This window comes from Homo sapiens, chromosome 19 (genome assembly GCF_000001405.40).
Source record: "Homo sapiens chromosome 19, GRCh38.p14 Primary Assembly".
NCBI classification, from domain to species: domain Eukaryota; kingdom Metazoa; phylum Chordata; class Mammalia; order Primates; family Hominidae; genus Homo; species Homo sapiens.
In genome coordinates this window covers 42,170,431-42,189,873 of record NC_000019.10, presented here as the reverse complement: position 1 = coordinate 42,189,873, position 19,443 = coordinate 42,170,431, and the positions used below count along the sequence as shown (strand labels likewise).

The following is a 19,443-nucleotide window of genomic DNA, read 5'->3' as shown; positions in this document are numbered from 1 at the left end:
TGCACTTGTTGTGGTCCCAGCTACTCAGGGGGCTGAGGGAGGAGGATTGCTGGAGCCTGGGAGATTGAGGCTACCATGATCCCACCACTGCACTCCAGCCTAGGTGACAGAGTATCTCAAAAACAAAGAAACAAAACAAACTCCCCCCGCCGCACTCAAAAAAACCTCTACCTTCCTCCAGGCTATGCTCCCCTCGTGCTTGTCCTTCATTGTCCTCCTCATCTCATCCCAAATTCTTGAAAGGACAAGTATGAGTTAGGGTTCTTTGGCTGCAGCAACAGAGACCGACTCTTGCTAACTTAAGCAAGAAAGATATTTATTAGAAGGAGATTAAGATGGCACTCACAACAGAGGGAGAGACTGAAGAAGCAGCCTTCAGAAAAGACTAGAACCAGGGCAGTAGCAGGGATTGAAGTAGCAGGAAGGAATGGCAGCTTCCTCAGGGCCCTGGGTACAACATAAATCAGCTGCAATCAGATTTGGGCCTCCTGTCACATAAGCTCATGATTCAAATTCCAGGGAGAGCTTCTGACTGGTGCAGCTTGAGTCTTGTGGCCTCCCATGACTCCCCTTGGCCTGTGGACAGCTGAGTGCCCTAACAGTCTCATGGAAGCATATCCAGTAGGACGTGGGTAATGGTTACTCAGTGAAAAGTCAGGGAGCCATTACAGAGGATGGCGAAATGGATGCTGGGTGGGCAGAAACATTGGTATCCATTCCTGCTTACCAGCCCCGGCCTTCACCTTGCATTTGAGTCACAACTCACTGAAACCACTCACATTGAGCTTGTTAAGGACTTTCTCTTGCCAAATCCAAGTACATTTTTCATCTTTATCTAAAGCTTTAACTCCATCGACCAGTACCTCTCTTTTAGAAATCTTTCCTTCCTTGGCTTCTGTATATTAAATCAACCCAAAACTCCCTTCCTTCCTTCCTTCCTTCCTTCCTTCCTTCCTTCCTTCCTTCCTCTCTTCTCTTCCTCCCTTCCTTCCTCTCTCCCTTTCTTTCTTTCTTTCTCTCTCTTTCCCTTTCTTTCTTTTTTCTTCCTCTCTCTTTTTCTTTCTTTCTCTTTCTTTCCCTCTCCCTTTCCTTCCCTCCCTCCCTCCCTTCCTTCCTTCCTCCTTCCCTCCCTTCTTTCCTTCTTCCCTTCCTCCCTCCCTCTCTCTGTCTTTCTTTCACTTTCTTTCTTTTTTTTTTTTTTTTTGAGATGAACTCTCTCTCGTCCCCCAGGCTGGAGTGCAATGGCGCAATCTCGGCTCACTGCAACCTCCGCCTCCTGGGTTCAAGCAATTCTCCTGCCTCAGCCTCCCGAGTAGCTGGGATTACAGGCATCTGCCACCACGCCCGGCTAATTTTTGTATTTTTAGTAGAGATGGGATTTCACCATGTTGGCCATACTGGTCTCAAACTCCTGACCTCAGGTGATCCACCCACCTCGGCCTCCCAAAGTGTTGGGATTACAGGCGTGAGCCTCTGCACCCGGCCCTTTTTTTCTTTTTTTTTTTTTGGAGACAAGGTCTCACTCTGTCACCCAGGTTGCAGTGCAGTGGCACCGTTTCAGCTCACTGCAACCTCTGCCTCCCAGACTTAGGTGATCCTCCCACCTCAGCCTCCTGAGTATCTGGGACCACAGGCACGCACCACCACGCCTGGCTAATTTTTTGTATTTTTGGTAGAGACGGGGTTTCACTATGTTGCCCAGGCTGGTCTCGAACTCCTGAGCTCAAGCGATCTGCCTGCCTTGGTCTCCGAAAGTGCCGGGATTATAGGCATGAGCCACTGCACCAGGCCATAGTCTTTTATAACCTAATCTCAGAAGTAATATCCCATCACTTTTGCCACATTCTATTCATGAGAAGTGAGTCACTTTTGAAATGAAATATAGAATGATTTAAAAAAGTCAAAAGGTTCAGCCCACGTTCAAGCAGAGGGCACCACACGAGGACATGAGTATCAGGAGGCAGGGGTCACTGGGACCTCTTAGGGGTGGCCTACCACAGCCTCCATAATGAAGCAGGCTCATGGTTCTCTTCTCTTCTCCCTGACAGCTTCTTCTGTGGTCCATTTAGGGACTTCATTTCTCTGCCCACCTGTTTTTTTTTTTTTTTTTTTGTGATGGAGTCTCGCTCTGTCGGTCAGACCGGAATGCAGTGGCATGATCTCGGCTCACTGCAACCTCCACCTCTGGGTTCAAGCTATTCTCCCTACCTCAGCCTCCCAAGTAGCTTGGATTACAGGCGCCCACCACCATGCCCAGCTAATTTTTGTAGTTTTAGTAGAGATGGGGTTTCACCATGTTTGCCAGGCTGATCTCAAACTCCTGATCTCAGGTGATCTGCCTGCCTTGGCCTCCCGAAGTGCTAGGATTACAAGCTTGAGCCACCTCACCTGGCCTGTTTTTTTTTTTTTTTTTTTTTGAGACAGAGTCTCACCTAGGCTGGAGTGCACAATCTCAGCTCACTGTAGCCTCCACCTCCTGGGTTCAAGTGATTCTCCTGTTTCGGCTTCAGCCTCCTGAGTAACTGGGATTACAGGCACCCTCCACCACGCCCGACTAATTTTTTGTATTTTTAGTAGAGACGGGGTTTCGCCATGTTGGCCAGGCTGGTGTTGAACTCCTGACCTCAGGTGATCCGCCCGCCTCGGCCTCCCAAAATGCTGGGATTACAGGCGTGAACCACTGCACCTGACCTCTGCCCACCTTTGAAATGTGGCACTTCTCCTGGGCTCTTTTCTGGGCTTAGAGCTCTTCACATTCGGCGTATTCTTCTTGAGGGACATCATCGACTCGTGATTTCAGCTATCAACTCTATGCTAATGATGTCCAGATCTTCAGCCCAGAGACCTCTCTCTATGACACTGCACACAACTGTATCCCAATATAGACTGAAGAACTAATATAACTCTTTGCTGGATCCAGGACATGTCTCATAGGCACCTCAGATATAAGAGGTTCAAGAAAGAACTTTGTCGAATAAGTTCTGTGCCTCCTCCTATTTTCTCCTGTCTCAATGAATGTCACCTCCATCCATCCGGGCATCCAAGTGAGAAACGTGGGCATCATCCTTGGCACCACCCTCTCCCTGACGCTCATATCCAAACATAAAGCCCTGCTGACTTGAGTTACCTCCGGGTTTTTTAAACCTGTTGCCTCCTTCATGTCCCTGATACCAATGTCAATACTGGCCATTAGCATCTCTTGCCTAGGCTATTGCAATAGCTTCCTGGTTTTTCCTGCTTTCATTCTTGTCCTCTCAGATTCATATTCTCAAAAATGCAAAGCTGCTCTTGATGAAAACCCATCAGCGGCTCCCCATGGCCTCCTAGATCAAAAGATACTTAATGATTGGGCCCCATCTAGCCTCTCCAGCAGCATTTTTCTCTTATGGTTTATGCTTTAGCAATCCCAACTGCCTCCCTGCACACAACCTACTCTTCCTCACCTGTGTGCTCTTGTTCATGCTTCCCTCCAATTTTAATGACTCCTTCAGAAGGACTATTTCCCCTTTAAAATTCTTTTTTTGTTTTTGTTTTTGTTTGAGATGGAGTCTCGCTCTGTCCAGCCAGGGTAGCCTGGCTGGAGTGCCGTGGCGCAATCTCGGCTCACTGCAAGCTCTGCCTCCCGGGTTCACACCATTCTCCTGCTTCAGCCTCCCAAGTAGCTGGGACTACAGACGCCCGCCACCACACCCGGCTAATTTTTTTTTTTGTATTTTCAGTAGAGATGGGGTTTCACTGTGTTAGCCAGGATGGTCTCAATCTCCTGACCTCATGATCCACCCGCCTCGGCGTCCCAGTCCCCTTTAAAATTCAAGAAAATGCCGGGTGTAGTTGTGCGCACCTATAGTCCCAGCTACTGGGGCGGCCGAGGCAGGAGGATAACATGAGCCCAGGAGTTCGAGTGTGCAGTGAGCCATAATAGTGCCACTGCACTCCAACCTGGGCAACAGAGTGAAACGGCATCTCAAAAATAAGTAAAATTCAATTTTCCCAGTCTAGTTTTGTGTCCTAGCACACTATAGTGTTGTGATTTATATATGCATTTGTGTCTCTTACTGGACCGTGAGCTTTCTTGATGGCAGGAATTGTGTCCTATTCCCCTTTGTGTCCCCGGTACCTTCTATGGAGGTCATACAAGTATAGATACTCAAGCTGTGTGTATTGGATGGATGAATGGATGAACTGGAGGTTTACATTAACATATGATTTTAAGTTGGTTCTTGGAGTCAAATAGAAGTTAGCCAGGGGGACAAGAGTGAGAAGGGCATTCCAGTTATAGGGAACTGCAAGTACAAAGGCCAAGAGGTTAAGGGCAGATTCAAGGAAGTGGTGGTGGTTTGGTGTGGTTGCAGTACAGGATGCATAGTGGTGCTCCCTGTAGAGGGAGGGGAGCCAGTTACTGTGAAGGGTCTGAAAAGCTGACTAAGGAGTTTGGCTTTTGTCCTGTGTGCAACAGGAAGTAAGAGTTTGAAGCAGGGGAGTGATTTGATCAGAGCCATATTGTAGAAACATTACCCCAGTAGCCAGTGTGGAGGATAGACTAGAAAGGGGGCAAGAGGGGAGACTGGGAGGCCAGGTAGTAAGGAGATTCATGGGCCAAGCAGGAGATGTGGAGGCCTGAACTAGGACACTGGGAGCAGGGAAGAGAGGAGGAGATGGATTTGAGAAATACTCGGTTGAACTCTATGAAATTCCCATTTTGTAAGAAAAAGCTGGGTGATATTGTCAATTTCATATGGTTTAAAATTTTAATATTAATGAAGTAAATGAACTGGATGGGATTTCAATCCTGATTGGATGTGAATATGAGGAAGAGGAAGGTGTCAAGGACAGGGACAATTTTTCTGACTTGAATGCTAGATTGGATGGAGTATCACCATGGGGAGTGGGAACCAAGGTCTAGGGGCATGGTAGAGAAGATGACATGATTAGATTAGACATGTTGATTTTGAGGTATTTTTGGAACCTCTAGGAGGTGGCTGGGTATCCTGATGTGAAGCTTAGGAGAGAGGGCTAAACTGGAGACAAATTTAGGGATTACCAGCATAGAGAAAGCAGTTGTGGGAGGGGATGATTCACCCTGGGAGAGCAGCCCAGACAGAGCTGGAGAACCAAGAGAGTGAGGTTTCTTAGATGCCAAGAGGATTTTGAAAAGATATTTGTGGCTGCATGCTGCAGAGGAGAGTCAGATAGGACTGAAAAGTGCTTGTAGGATTTAGCAAGGAGGAGACTGTCAGGGACAAGGGTGTGTCTTGGGGGGCAGTAGTGGGAGTGCCTTGGACTGGCCTCTGGAAGGGCATGCTGGGCCTGGACTTGGAGGTGTCCCTTCGTCCTTAGTCATGCATCACTTCAGCCACCAGGGGGCAGTGGCCACATGGAATCCAGGTTGGAGGGATTCACTGGGGCCCACAAACTCTTGGAGATGTGGGCAGGGTTGGGGGATAGGTCCAGAGCAGAGGCTGCTTCCTAATGGAGAGAGACATCCCCATGTGAAAAGAGCAGGGAGGAAGTTCTGGGAAGGGCGGCAGGAAGGAGACCTTTCTGTGGGGCAGACAGGAGGCCAATTAGAAATCCCCAGTCTTGGCCCAGAGCGGTGGCTCATGCCTGTAATCTTGGCACTTTGGGAGATCAAGGCCAGTAGATCGCTTAAGCCGAGGAGTTCAAGACCAGGCTGTGCAACATGGCAAAAACCTGTCTCTACCACAAAATACAAAAATTAGCAGGTTGTGGTGGTGCACGCCTGTCGTCCCAGCTACTCAGGAGGTTGAGGCAGGAGAAGGTCGAGGTGGCAGTGAGTTGTGATTGTGCCACTGCACTCCAGCCTGGATGACAGAGGGAGGAGAGAGACCCTGTCTCAAAAAAAAAAAAAAAAAAAAAATCCCCAGTCGTGTCTCATAGTTTCCTTCTCTCTGGGCCTTTTCAGGTGCAGGTGGGTTTTATTCAACATGGTACTTCGAATAGCAATGGATTTGTATTTTGAACCCTGATTTTCTTTGCACTCACTTCTTGATAGTCTTACTCTCCATTCTGTGTTCAAAACATAGTGAACTTTTTTCAGTTCTCACCTGCTTCCATGTGAAAGCTCTTCTTCCATGGGAACGCTTTCTCCATCCTGCCTCCTGTTTATCCTTCAGGTCTTATCTCAGGCATCACCTCTTCTCAGAAGCCTTCCGTCACTGCCCCATCCACCTCCTCTTGGCTCCCATAGAGCCCTATCTTGAGTCTTGAATATTCTGGCTGGTAATTATTTATTTATTTATTTGCAATCAGCTTTATTGTGATATAATTTGCATGCAATAAAATTCACCAGTTGTAAATGTACAGTTTAATGAGTTTACACACACACACAGTTGTGTAACCACCACCACAATCATGTTACAAAACATTTCCATTACCCTAAAAAGTTCCCTCCGGCGCCTTTGCTGTCAGTCCCCTCCTTCCACTGCAGCCCTTTTCAACCACTCATTTGCTTTTCCGTCACAGTAGTTTTGCTGTCTAGAATTTCATGTAAATGGAATCCTACAGTGTGTGGTCTTCTGCATCTCTCACTTTGGTTTTGAGGTACTTCTGTGTTGCTGTGTGTATCAGTAACTGTGTATTTATTGTTCATTCCCTCCCCCACCAACAACTTCAGATGAGGGTCTCTATGAGGGCAGAGTTGTGTCTCATTTGCATTTGTTTCTTCAGCTTACAGCATAGTGCTAATTCGTGATAGTATTCAGTATGCATGTCTTAAATGGAACCAAACTGAATGCTTGGGGAGAGTCAGCCTGGGAGAGCTTCTGAACCCGGGTGTGCATAAGGCAGGACCCATCTGCAAGATGCCTCATGGCCTTTTCATCCCACTCCAGCTGCTCCTCCATTTACTTTGGCTGGTTCTGCTCAGCAGGCCCTCACTTCTCTGCCCTTCTCTAACCTGCTTCCCTTTACCTGGTCTTCGATTCCCCGCTTGTGGTCTCAGGGCCCTGCTCCATTGCCTGCTCCAGCCTCCTCCTGGTCTTTGGAAGTCTCCACACCACTGAGCCCTGGCCTCCCTGAGCCTGCAAGTCTCTCCACTCCTCCTCCTGCCTGTCCCAGGACCCTACCCACTTCAGATGACTCCACATCTCAGTCCAGCTCTGCATACCTCTCTGTCTGTGCCTCCGGGTCCCTGTCTCTGGGCCCCTTCTAGGATGATGGAGACAGCTGGCTGCCCCATCCTAGGGAGCTAGGTTGTGATTCCTCTTCCTTTCTCTCTTTTGCTTCACCTTCATCCTCCGACTCGAACACCTTCCCATAGGAGGCCACTGGGGCAACCTCTAAATTTCATTCAGACCAGAAAAGCCTCTGTCTGTTTCTTATTTCTTTCCCTTCGGTCTTTATCTCCTTCTCCCATCTCCTTTCTCCTCTCCCCAGTCCCCTTCACTCTTCCTGATACCCTCACTCTGCTCTGCTCACCATTCACCTCCCTTCCTCCTCCTAGCTTCCTCTTTTCTCTCACACCCATTCTCCTCCTGTCCTTGTTCTCTTCCTTGCTCCCGCACCACATCTCCCTCTGCCTGTGTCCTCAGGGCCTCCTCCCTTCCTTCCATACATCCAGTTCCAGTTCCAGGTCTCTCTCTCTCTCTCTCTCTCTCTCTCTCTCTCTCTCTTTTGAGACAGAGTCTTGCTCTATCGCCCAGGGCAGTGCAGTGGAACAATCTTGGCTTACTGCAACCTCTGCCTCCTGAGTTCAAGTGATTCTTGTGCCTCAGCCTCCTGAATAACAGGTCTCTTCTTTTTGCTCCTTGTCCTTGCACCACTTTTTTCCTTCTCCCCAGTTTCTTCCCTTCCTGCTTTGTGTGCCTTCGTTTCCCTTATCTTACACCCTTTATCCTCAGAGATTATAAGGGAGCCCCAAGACTTGTAACCAAGACACCAAGATGTACACACACGCACACACATGGCCACAGATGCGCGAACAAATGTTTCATTAATGAACAAATGCATCTATCTAAAGGTATGTTCAAGGCCGGGAGTGTTGGCTCACGCCTGTAATCCCAGCACTTTGGGAGGCCGAGGTGGGTGGACCACCAGGTCAGGAGTTTGAGTCCAGCTTGACCAACATGGTGAAACCCCGTCTCTACTAAAAAATACAAAAATTAGCTGGGCATGGTGGCATGCGCCTGTAATCCCAGCTACTCGGGAGGCTGAGGCAGGAGAATAGCTTGAACCCGGGAGGCAGAGGTTGCAGAGAGCCGAGATTGTGCCACTGCAGTCCAGCCTGAGTGACAAAGCAAGGCTCTGTCTCTAAATAAATAAATAAATAAATAAATAAATAAATGTATGTTCAGACGCACACACTCAATTAAGGTCATCCATAGCTTGCAATGTTTTGTACTTAGTATACATCAGGTACTATTATTTGTATACATGTTTCTGAAAGATGAACAGGCAGAATGAGGAGGGAATAAGAGCTGAGCTCATTCGTACAGGAAGAGCCATGTACATGCACACCTGTACCCAGAGATGGCCCTCACTCAGACATGCACACACACACATTCCTCAGAGGAATCTGGTACTTCTGGAATTATGCTATTTCAGAAGCAGAGAGAGCACACATGTTTTTGCTGTGTTGTGTACAGTGTATGGTGTACGTCTTTGCATGTGCCTGGTGTGTATACATGTGCTGCATCAGCCTTCGTGGAATCATGACTCGGGGCTGGGCGGAGCCCTAGAAATCAGTTAGGACAACCTGCATGTGCGGATTGCTTAAGTCTCCTATTGGATCTGACTTTTGTAAGTCCATGAGGGATGTCAGCTTCTGCTTAATATGGATATTCTGGATAATTAAGATACCAATCATGCATAGGTTGTGGACCACAGACTCTTAACATACTGGCAAGTAAGCATATGATATGGACTTAGCACATATCAAACCAAGTTTTTTGGATCCTTAAAATTGGTGCTTTAGCCTGGGGAACATATGGAGACCTCATCTCTGCTTAAAAAAAAAAAAAATAGATGGGTGTGGTGGTGCATGCCTGTAGTCCCAGCTACTTGGGAGGCTGAGGCAAGAGGGGATTGCTTGAGCCCAGGAGTTTGAGGCTACAGTGAGCCATGATCACGCTGCGGCACTCCAGCCTGGGTGACAGAGGGAGACCCTGTCTCAAAACAAACAAACAAACAAACAGACAAACATTGGTGCTGTGTGCTTAGTGTATACTCACTGTATACACAATTATTATGTACTTGGTCATTCTTAGGAAGGATGACCGCCCCCCACCCCACCCATGTACTGGTCCTTGTAGGTGCCAGGGCCAAGGCAGGGAACAGGACATCCTTGGTCTCTGCCCTGTCCCTGCTTCCCTTCTAGTAGGTACTCAGGCTGTCCATAGCTCCTCCTAGGTCTATTGTACACGTACAGATGGAGGGACCTGGGAGTCTGCTGGGTAGATTCATTGCAGGGTCCAGTATTCCTTGTTGCTCCTTCCAGAATGGATAGTGTGTGGGTTGTCATTATATACACCCTTTTTTGAGTTCTCTCCTCACTATTGGGACCCCATGTGCCTTTGTATGCAAGCGGAGTGGGTGTTTCTTATGTTCAGTTTTGTTATGTGCCTTTGTGGATCACCAGAACCTGCTCATGGGTGTCTCTTATGTTCACACTAGCTAAGTCTATTAGGTTGGTGTGCCAGCTTTGTAGGCATGGGGGATAGGGTACTTCCTGCATTCATTTATGTTGTGCCCACACAGTATGGGTCCCAGGGAGGCTGGTTGGTAGGTGGCTATGGGGTGGTTCCGTGTCCACTATGTTCATGCCCTGTAGGCCCATGTGCCTAGTTTGTGTGCAGTTGGAGTGGGCGTTTCCTGTATTTATTTGTGTTGTGAACACACTGTGTGGATCCCAGGAGTCTGCTCTGTATGGGGGTATTAAGTGGTCCCATGTCCATTATGCATCTGCTGCATAAGACCCAAATACCTACTTTGTATGGACAGAGGGTAGTATTCCTTGCATTTATTTGTGTTGCGCACACAGTGCGGGTCCCAGGAGGCTGCTCCGTACAGGGAGTAGTAGGTAGTTCTGTGTCTATTATGCACACGCTGCACAGGTCCTGGGTACTTACTTTGTACGCCCACGGGGTAGGTGTTTCCTATATTTATTTATGTTACGCACTTCCAGTGTAGGTCTTGGGAGCGTTCTCCATACACGTGGGCAGTTGGTGATTCTCGTGTTTCTCACACACACATGAGGGTCCCGCGTGTCCACTCAGTATGCATGGGGTAGCCTTGCTGGTAACAAAGCGAAGGGCGGTTGCAGCTGCTAAGCCAAGACCGCGCAGCGCGTGCCTGCGTCCTCCTCCTCCTCCTCCCTTTCCCTCCCTGCCTTCCCCCTCCTGTTCCCTCCCTCTCACACCCCCTCCCAGGTCTGGGTACCACTTGCAACCCTATCCTCCTCTTTGCACCACTGCACCCCCGCCTGCAGGGGGCGGGAGCCATGCACCCTCCCAAGACCCTGTGCCCACCTTCCCCTGGTCGGAGCCCCTTCACCCTTGGCCTTCCTTTCCTTCCTCCCTGTCTCCAAGCCATAATGTGCCTGGCACAGGGGAGGTGCTTGGTGACTGGGCACTGCCCTCCTCTCTTTCTTCCCCTCCTCTCCCTTCCCCACTCCTCTCCTTTCTGCTGTTCTTCCCTCCCCTCCTGTCTGCCCTTTCCCCCTTGGTGCTTCCCTGGACCCTCTTGTCACCTTCCTACTTTCTGCTTTCACCCCAGCCTGTCCCTTCCTCCTTTACCTGGGCTCTGTCTCTGCCCCCCATCCCCAGCCTTGTCTACCAGACCTCATTCTCTATTTCTGACTCTCCATTTGTCTCTTCTTGTCTCTGTCTCGCATCTCTCTGTGGATCTCTGTCCAACTGAAAGCCTCTTCCAGTGCCTTTCTCCATCTCACTGTGTCTCTCTGTGTGTCTCCTGAGGTTTCTCTGTTCCTGTCACTTTCTTGCAGTCTCTGTCCATGTCTCTGCATTTCTCTGCCTCACTTTGACTCTCTGGGTCTCTGTCTTTGCTTTCTTTCTCTCACCATCTCTGTATTTCTTTTCATCTCTTTTTATGTCTTGATCTCTGTTTCTCTCTTTGCACATTTCTTTCTGTCTCTGTTTCTTAGGTTCTCTCTCAGAATCCCTATGTATATTTCTCTGTGTTTCTGTCTACACCTTCTTGTTTGACTCTGTCTCCTTGTTTGACTCTCTCTGTGCCTTTTTCTCTGTCTCAGTCTCAGTCTCTGTATCTTTTGGTCTCTGTCAATGTCTGTCTTTCTGGCTTTGCATCTCTCCATCTCTGTTTCTCTGTCTCTTTCAACGGCTCTTTCAACGGCTCTTTCTTAATCTCTGTCTGTTTCCGCAGGTCTATATCTCTTACCTCTGTGTGTGTCTGCCTCTGTCTCTATGTCTTCCTATCTCTGTATCTCTGCAACACTGCCTTACATCTTCATTTGTCTCTCTTTGCGTGTAGCTTTCTCCTATCTCTGATTTGTGCATATCTATCTCTCTTATTTCTGTGTCTCTGTCTTTGTGAATTAGTCTCTTTCTCTCCCCATATATATTTTTTCACTATCTCTCTGTCTCTGTGTGTCTACTTCTCTGTGGCTATCTTTCTGACTCTGCATCTCTGTCTCTGCATGGACCTCTTCTCCTTATCTCTTTGTCTCTGAGTGTCTCTGTGGTTCTTGGTGCCCCTTTATGTCCCCATCTGCTCCCTCCTCCCTCCTCTCCCCCCACTCTGTTCCTGTGTCTCTATATTTCTGTGTGTCTCTGGACATCTCTCTGCCTCCATGTCCCCTATACTTCCTGCCCTCTCCCTTCTCCTTTTCCTCTTTGTCTCTGGGTGTCTCTTTGAGTCTCTGGCTTTTAGGGCCTCTCCCTGCCTTTGAGTCCCCTGTGCTCCCCACCCTTCTCTGTCTCTTTTCTGTGTGTCCCCGTGTCTATTTGTTTCTGTGTGTCTCTGTGTCTCTGAGCATCTCTCTGCCTCTAGGAGTCTTTCTCTGCCTCTGCATCTTCTGTGCTCCCTGTCCTGTCCCCTCTCTCTTTTTTCTCTGTCTCTATCTCTGGGTGTCTCTGTGTCTCTGAGTATCTCTGTTAGTCTCTGGACCTCAGTGTCTCTCCATACCTTTGAATCCCTCTCTGCTCCCTGCCCCTCGCCCTTACCCCTCTGTCTCTTACTGTGTGTCCGTGTGTCTCTGTGTCTCTGTGTGTCCGTGTGTCTCTGTGTCTCTCAGTATCTCTGTGGGCCTCTGTCGGTCTCAAGGATTGTCCTTGTCTCCGTGTCCCCTTCTATTCCTACCCCTCTCCTCTATCTCTGTGTCTCTGTTTCTGCATATGTCTGCATCTCTCCGTCTCTGTGTCTCTCTGTGTCTCTGTGGGTCTCGGGCCTCTCCCTGCCTCCGTGTCCCCTGCGCTCCCCGCCCTCTCCCTCTCCCTCTCTCCCCCCTCGCTCTCTCGCTCGCGCTCTCTCTCTGAGCATCCTTGGGCCCGGGGTTGCCATGGGGACAAGGTGGGAGCCGGGGATGGCGCGCGCCTGGGCTCGCGCCGGCAGCTCAGGCGAGGAGCAGCGGCCAGAGCAGCGCCAGCAGCAGGCAGCGAGCGGGCGCGGGAGCGGGAGCGGGAGCGGGGGTAGCGTTGGCGGCGGCGGCTCCTCCTCGGCCATCCCCTCGGAGCCGTGCAGCTGACGCGCATGGCGAAGACAGCGGCGCCTACCGATGGGAGCAGCGGTAAGGCAAGGCGGCGCGGCGCAGCCGGGCGGGCGGGCGGCGGGCAGCCTCCTCCTCTCCCCAGCTCGCCTGCGCGCCCGCCCGCCTGCCCTCCCTTCCTCCCTCTCCCCTCGCAGCCCCTGCCCGCCCGCCCGCCCGCGCCGCGCTTGCCCTTCCATTTAAAAATCTTTAAAACTTTGCATATTAATATCTGCGCTTTGCATAATCTGACCCGCGCTTTATTGATTGCAAGAAGCTTAATGCAGCCGGCTCGGCCTATTGCAGAGAGCTCTCCGGGCGGGAGCCGGGCGGGAGCCGGGCGGGCGCCGCTCACTCCGCACCGCGCTCCGGCTGTCAGCCGCCGCCGCGGCCCCGGCCCTCTCGCCTCCCTCTCGGCGCCCGGCGCCGGGGCTTTGCCCCCTGGCTGGGTATTTTTATTATTTGGGGATGGGGGGGGTCAGCTTGCTCTCGATGGCAGTGAGGGAACCAAAGGAGAGGTGTACGTGGGGGCGGGGGGCAGGGATGGAAAGAAATGGGGACGGAGAGGAGGTGAAGAGGGAGAGGAAAAAGGGAGAAGGGGCAAGAAGGATGAGGAAAGGAGAGGCGTGGAGGGGGAAGCAGTAGAGAGAGGAGAGGGCAGTCGGCTGAGGACGGAGCTGAAAGGACGGAGGAGCGGAGGAGCGGAGGAGCGAGAGCCGAGGCAGAAGAGAAAGGAGGGAGTCAAGAGCGCAGACTAGAGAAAGAGCCTGACGGCCGCAGAGCTGAGGAAAGAGGCAGGCAGTGGGCGCTTCGCCGCTGCTGCCCCCGGGCCAAAAAATAAAGAAAAGAAAAAGAGAAAAAAAACAATACCAATAAAAAGACGATGAAAATAAAACACATCGCAACCAGGGCCACTGAACACAAAAAGGAGCGAGGACAGAGAAGAGAGGCGAGGTGGCATCTGCTCCCGGCTGGCTGCGGCGCTTCGGAGAGGCTCCCCGGGCTGGGCGGGACCCCCATTTTGACCCTGCATTTGAGGAAGGGGCGACTGTGGAGAAAATGAGGCGAGAGGGGGTCAGGGCTGGTGGCGGTTCCGCCTGTTTTTTTTTTTTTCTCTCTCTCTCTCTTTTCCTGGAGGTGTGGGGGCCGGTTTAGTACGATGATGGTGAGGATATTGGTCGGTGATGCTGTCTGAAGCTCCGAAGCAAGCAGGGTGCAATGGGGGGGGAGAGGTAAGAGGGCACAGGGAACGAGAAAGGGCTGGGTGGTGGGAATGAGGGGTGAGAGAAAGGAACGGGGTGCCTTGGAGAGCAGAAACGGTGAGAAATAGGAAAAAGCAGCCGGGATGGGGCACTCAGAGGCGGTGGCATCTCAGGCAGGAGGAGAGGTGGAAAACGGAGCTCCAGGGCCCCAGAGTGAGGTTGGGGAGCCGCGGTGCACCCCTCAGCTCTCTGGACAAAGTCTGTAACTTGGGGAACCCCTTCGACTGCCTGCTGCCTCTTTGGTCTCTTTTCTTTCCCTTTTCATGTCCTTTCTCAGCTCCTTTATTTCCATCTCCTTTACTGTTTTTTCTTTCTCACTGTTTTTCAGTTTCTATCTCTTCCTTTTCTCAATAAAAGCTCTTTCTCCTCCTCCCCACCCCTTAGTTTTTCTTTTTCTACCTCCCTTATCTCCACCTCCTTCCCTTCTTTTTTCTCCGTTTTTCCCTTCCCCCTTTCCCCCTTTCTTTTATTCTTCCCTTCCTGCCACTCATTTCCCCTGTTGCCAGCTCTTTCTACCCCCTCCCTCAGTTTCATTTATTCATCACTCTTGCTGCTCTGGCCTTCAACAGGGTGCCAGGGAAAGGGGCTCCATGCAAAGGCAGGAATCCCCAACTTCCTACCAGAGCCTAACCCCTGTTCTGAAACCCCATGTATTTCTACCCTCTTTTTTACCCTGAGTGGGGGTTTGGGTCTGTCCCCTGGGTTCTAGTGCCACCCCCTACTTCCTTGTGGCCTCCTGGAGAAGTCCTGCTGGATGCTCACTGGGGCTCTGGGAGGGGGAGGGGAAGATCTTAAGTGAGGGCTCATGGCTGTCGACTCAGCCCCACTGAGAAGGGTGTGGACAGAGAAGAAAATGACATGGATGCCTAGCGGGAAGTGAAAACGGGAGGAAATTGGGGCGGAAGTCCATCTGAGAGAGTCCTTAGAGCTTTTGAGTCCAGGTAAAAGATCCTGAGAGAAAGCCTTTGGCCTGATGACCACTCCCCACTTTCTGCCTCCTTCCTGGGGCCTGTGGAGTTGGGGAGTAGGTCCTGGATTTAGAGAAAGACCCAATCAGCCGCTTCGCTCAGTAGCTTTTAGTCTCTTGCCATCTTGTCAGGTGGATTTGTCCTTCCACCCCCCAGGATATAAGGGGAAGGTACAGAGTCAGTGTGCAGTGGGGGGCTGGTGGGTACAGAGTCAGTGTGCAGTGGGGGGCTGGTGGGTACAGAGTCAGACCATGACGGCAGCATGCATGTGTATAAGGCCTGCATGTGTGGTGAGATGTGTTCAGGAAGGACTAACTGTGTGTGCTGGGCCTCGAAGCCTTGGCAGAGTGAGGAGCCAAAGGTGTAGAATCGTGACATGTGTTTTCAGTGGGGGGTTGGGTACTGGGGGTCCCCATCATGGGTGACATATGTGCAGAAGGGAGTCAGTGCATATTTGTACTGATCTCTCCCTCGTCCTGATGTTTATGTATCACTCGCTATGTGTGCATTCAGGAGGCCCTCTTTGGCTCTGTGCGTGGAAGCCGTCCACGCGTGTGCAGGCCCATGTGCCGAGTCTGGCTTCAGCAGTGGACACGTGACACTTTGTATGTGCAGCGTGTTTGGAGTGAAGGCTCTGTGTATGGGTACTAGGTCTGAACATAGTGTGTGCACACAAGGGTGCACATCAAAAAAAGTCACATATGTGAAAGTACCATTTCTGCATGGAGATATTATTATTGTTATTGCTCGGGGTCTCTGCGTGTCCTGGGTAAGAGGGAGGGTGGGTTTGTGAAGCAGGGTCTGGGTAGAGTGATGAGAGATGTGTGAGTGCACAGAGGTCGCGGGCGTATGGCTGAGTTTGACGGCATGCTTGCACAGCAGCCTTGAAGCTGGGTTCAAGAAAACAAAACAAGAAAAGATCCCCTCTCCCCACAGTCTATCAGCCCATGAAAAGCTTCCCTGGACCTTCTGTAGTAACAAAGCGTCCCATGTCAGGGGGTGACAGGCAGGCCAGGAGTAAAGCCGATCAGGGCCATAGGCAGCATCTCCAGTTGCTGATAATGCGATTCCACATCTACTTCCTGATTTATGGGTAATGCTGGACAGAGGCCCATCCTTGCCGTTGGAGAGGTCCAGACCCCCATTTCCCTGAGGCTGTGCTGGCATGTGCTGGTGAACTCTGTGGCAGGTTGCAGTGTCATCTTTGGGGGTCTTGGTTGCGCTCACTTCCCTCTGCTAGTCTTTGCAGGGAAAATGGAAGGTGTCTGTGTCAGGGCTGTAGTAGGGAAAGAACTCAGCCACAGTGTGTGTGTATGCACACACCTATACCCATGCTGTGTGTGTAGAGGTTGTTAGCCTATACGTCCTAGACAGCATGCTGGCCAGGTGTTTTTTTTTTTTTTTTCTAGCAAGTCCGTCAGTGGCCACTCCAGGCCACCTCCATTCTGGTTCATATACACTCCCTTCTTGTATGCAGGGCCTATAAGCCAGAACTTCTTCCTCCACCAATGTGACAGCAAAGCAAGGGCCCCAACCTTAGCACCCCACTGGGTAGAGCTTTTCATAGCCCTGGTGCATAATCATAATGTGTAGAGGCATGACTTGCAACGAGGGGAGCAGGGACAGATGGCCACACCAGGGGCTACTTGGACATCGATGATGGCAAGGGAGAAGTTTCCATCTCTGGCATGTGCTGGTTAATTTCCAAGATATTTCAGGATGGAGATGGTTGAGAAACCCAAGTGTGAAGAGTTGTTAGAAGACAGAGTGGGTGTAAGGCCTCCTCAGATGGATGTCTATTCCTCCTTCTAAATATATTTCACTCATCATTTTTCCCTTGGGCTCAACACCTCTTGATCTAATAATAATAATGACCATGATGTCCCTTACACCCACCTCGCTCTCACAGCAGCCCCAGTGGTGTCCCTCTCACAGATGAGAATTCTGAGGCCCACATCATTTGCTCAGCCTGTCAGCAACCATGCTGGCGCTAGAACCAAGGTCCTCCTCATACCGAGCCTTGTCTGTCCTTATAGGTCTGTCCTATCCCATTAGCTGTCCCAGCGCCATTTCCTTTCACTGGCTCTGTCTCTTCCCCCACTTCCTCCCTGCCCCCTGAGATGTCCATCCACAGACCTGTCTCCCAGGACCTGTCGGGTGGATGGATGCCTTATGTGGTTCAGTGAGGGCTCTAAGGATGTGGGTCTCGCTTTATATCCTGAAGGGAGAGCCAGCAAATGAGCATGGTTGAGCTCGTTCCATCAGTGATGGTTTGGGGCTGGGCCTGTTCAAACACAGGGGTTTGCATGAGCTTATGGTCCCCCCTACCCCTTTTGGTGAGCCCTGTGTCACCTTTTCAGATCCACATGGTGGCCTTGGGAGGCAGGTGCATTTTCCCTCACTCGATCACCACCCCAACTTCATTAGATCCTCGGGACAGGCAGCTTTCCCAGCTCTGACGCATTCGGAAGGAGGCTGAAGGTGGTGGCTCCACATGCAAGGTCCCTGCATTCAATAGGTATTTATTGAGTGGTGTGAATCACTGAACAAATAAAGTCCAGTGAGTTCCCTGAGGTAATCGGGCAATGGTGGTATGATCACTCCTTAACCTGAAAATGATCGCTAGGCACTGACCATGGGCCAACAAAGGCCTAGACTCTGAAGCAGAACCAATCCCAGCCTTAGACAGGATTCTGGGCGCCTGGACTGTGAGCACAAAGGGAGTTTCCAGGTCATTAGGAATCTGGGGAATGAAGATGGTGTGGGTTTAGACAGGGAGGTGAGTCTTTAAGGATGCTCAGATACTGAGAAAAGCAGACTGGTGGCAGGGCATAAAGATGGCAGAGGAAAGTGAGGAGAAAGCAGCCCAGGTTGGAGGTGTAGTCTAAGAGTAGAGGTTGGCACAATGTTGCAAGGCCCTGTCTGTGGAGGCTCAGCTGCTGCTCTGAGAAGTTGGAACTTGATCTGGCTGGCAGCGGGGAGCTATTATGCCTGCAATCACACACACATACACATATACACATGCATCTCGTGACAACGTACTTTGGACAATACGGACTTGTCTATGAGCATGAGTGTGCTTGTGCACACACACACAGGGACCTTTATTCTGGCATCCATTCAGGGTCTCCCTCACAGAAACCAACAAGGTTGGGGGTTACTTTAGTCCACACTCTCAGGATCCTATAAAGTATAGGGCTGTGGCCCACACACGCAAGTATAAGAGCAGACTGGGGACCCTCCCCCACCCGGGGTGCAGACTCATGTGGCATTCACAGACTTAATCCGCCGCAGTGAGGCCAGGGAGGCAGCATCTGTCACTTTCACAAACACAAGCAACGGAGTCTGAGAGAGGCACATTCCACTTGCTCACAACTGCTTGAGAAACAGATGCCTGTACCGCACTGCCCCCCATGCCCAAAACAGACACGGCCCCTCATGGCCCCCCACGCCAAGCCCAGGCCAATACACCAAGTCACTCCTGCATTAAAGTGCACACACACACACACACACACACACACACACACACACACGAAGCGCAGCCCCTGACATTCCATCTCCCCATATATACAACCATATACTCAGGCACTCTGACTTTAAGCACAGCTGCTGACTTCCTATCCCCTTATTCACACACAGACACAGACACACACGCATACACACACACACTCATTTTGACTTAAAGCACAGCTATAGCCATCCCACCACCCATACACATATACCTACAAGCGGACTTCCACACATACTCAAACACACAGCCTCACAATCCACCAGAACTACTGTGGCCAGCGGTCATTGAAGAATGACAGCCTGAGCAGTGTGCTGAGGGGAGGGTCGCCCTGAGGCATGGGCCGAGGGTCATACAACAGGGTACATCGGAATCCCTTGAGGAAAAGGTCAGGCCGACTCCAAAAGGGTTCCATTGGTCCGGACGGTTCTGCCAGGTAAGGGAGATTCAACAAATGCAGGCCAGAGGCAGGAGCCGACTAATGGCCGAGGCCGCTGATGGCCGAGATGGCTGGTCAGCGAGGAGGGGAGGCTCGACAACTGATGTGACTCAGAGCTGGACAAATGATGGCGCATTTGGCTGAAGCTGGCTGGGGGCCCATGACCAGAGACCAGGCAGCCATTCTCGCCTCAGCGGGGAAAGGGCCAGATCCGGCTCTGTTGCAGCAGGGTGGGTTTCCCAGCCTGGATCCACCATGCATCCTGCCTGCCGTGTGTGTCTTGGGGTCTTTGTATGTGTGCATGTTTGTGTGCATGTGTGTTCATACATTTATCTGCAGTTGTCAGCATGTGCCTACCTTCGTAGAACTTTGTATCTTTGGGACTCCTGGTGTGCATCTATGTATGTGCCTTTGTGTATGTGTTTGCTTGTGCGTCTATGTGTACATGCCCACCCACAAAGTGTTCAGGGACCTTTCTTGTTGGACTCTGCATTTTTGGGTCCGTGTGTGTGTTTGCGTCTATTGAATGTGTAGAAAGCTTTCTTACTGTGAGACACTATGCACTCTTGAGCATTTTTTTTTTTTTT

General features: G+C 50.8%; 1 protein-coding gene across 3 annotated transcripts in view, besides 3 other annotated features; it reads left to right on the top strand.

Annotated features, from left to right (window-relative positions):
- Positions 1-19,443, top strand: part of POU2F2 (POU class 2 homeobox 2) — a 111,827-nt gene that overhangs the window by 8,063 nt on the left and 84,321 nt on the right. The window contains exon 1 of one of the 3 annotated variants that reach the window (NM_001393934.1): positions 12,568-12,721. The exons of the other annotated variants lie outside the window; for them this stretch is intronic. The gene's annotated coding sequence lies outside the window, so the exon portion shown is untranslated. Of the gene's footprint in view, positions 1-12,567; positions 12,722-19,443 lie in introns of those variants that run through there. 3 annotated transcript variants of the gene reach the window in all.
- Positions 12,508-12,587: a silencer, noted in NCBI's record as "silent region_10688". NCBI's record gives its function as "represses an Ori minimal core promoter by ATAC-STARR-seq in GM12878 lymphoblastoid cells {active_cell/tissue: GM12878}" and the evidence as "EXISTENCE:reporter gene assay evidence [ECO:0000049][PMID:35858748]".
- Positions 12,688-12,837: a silencer, noted in NCBI's record as "silent region_10687". NCBI's record gives its function as "represses an Ori minimal core promoter by ATAC-STARR-seq in GM12878 lymphoblastoid cells {active_cell/tissue: GM12878}" and the evidence as "EXISTENCE:reporter gene assay evidence [ECO:0000049][PMID:35858748]".
- Positions 13,187-13,689: an enhancer, noted in NCBI's record as "H3K4me1 hESC enhancer chr19:42680337-42680839 (GRCh37/hg19 assembly coordinates)". NCBI's record gives its function as "activates a minimal SCP1, AML or CMV promoter by ChIP-STARR-seq in primed H9 embryonic stem cells {active_cell/tissue: H9 hESC(primed)}" and the evidence as "EXISTENCE:reporter gene assay evidence [ECO:0000049][PMID:30033119]".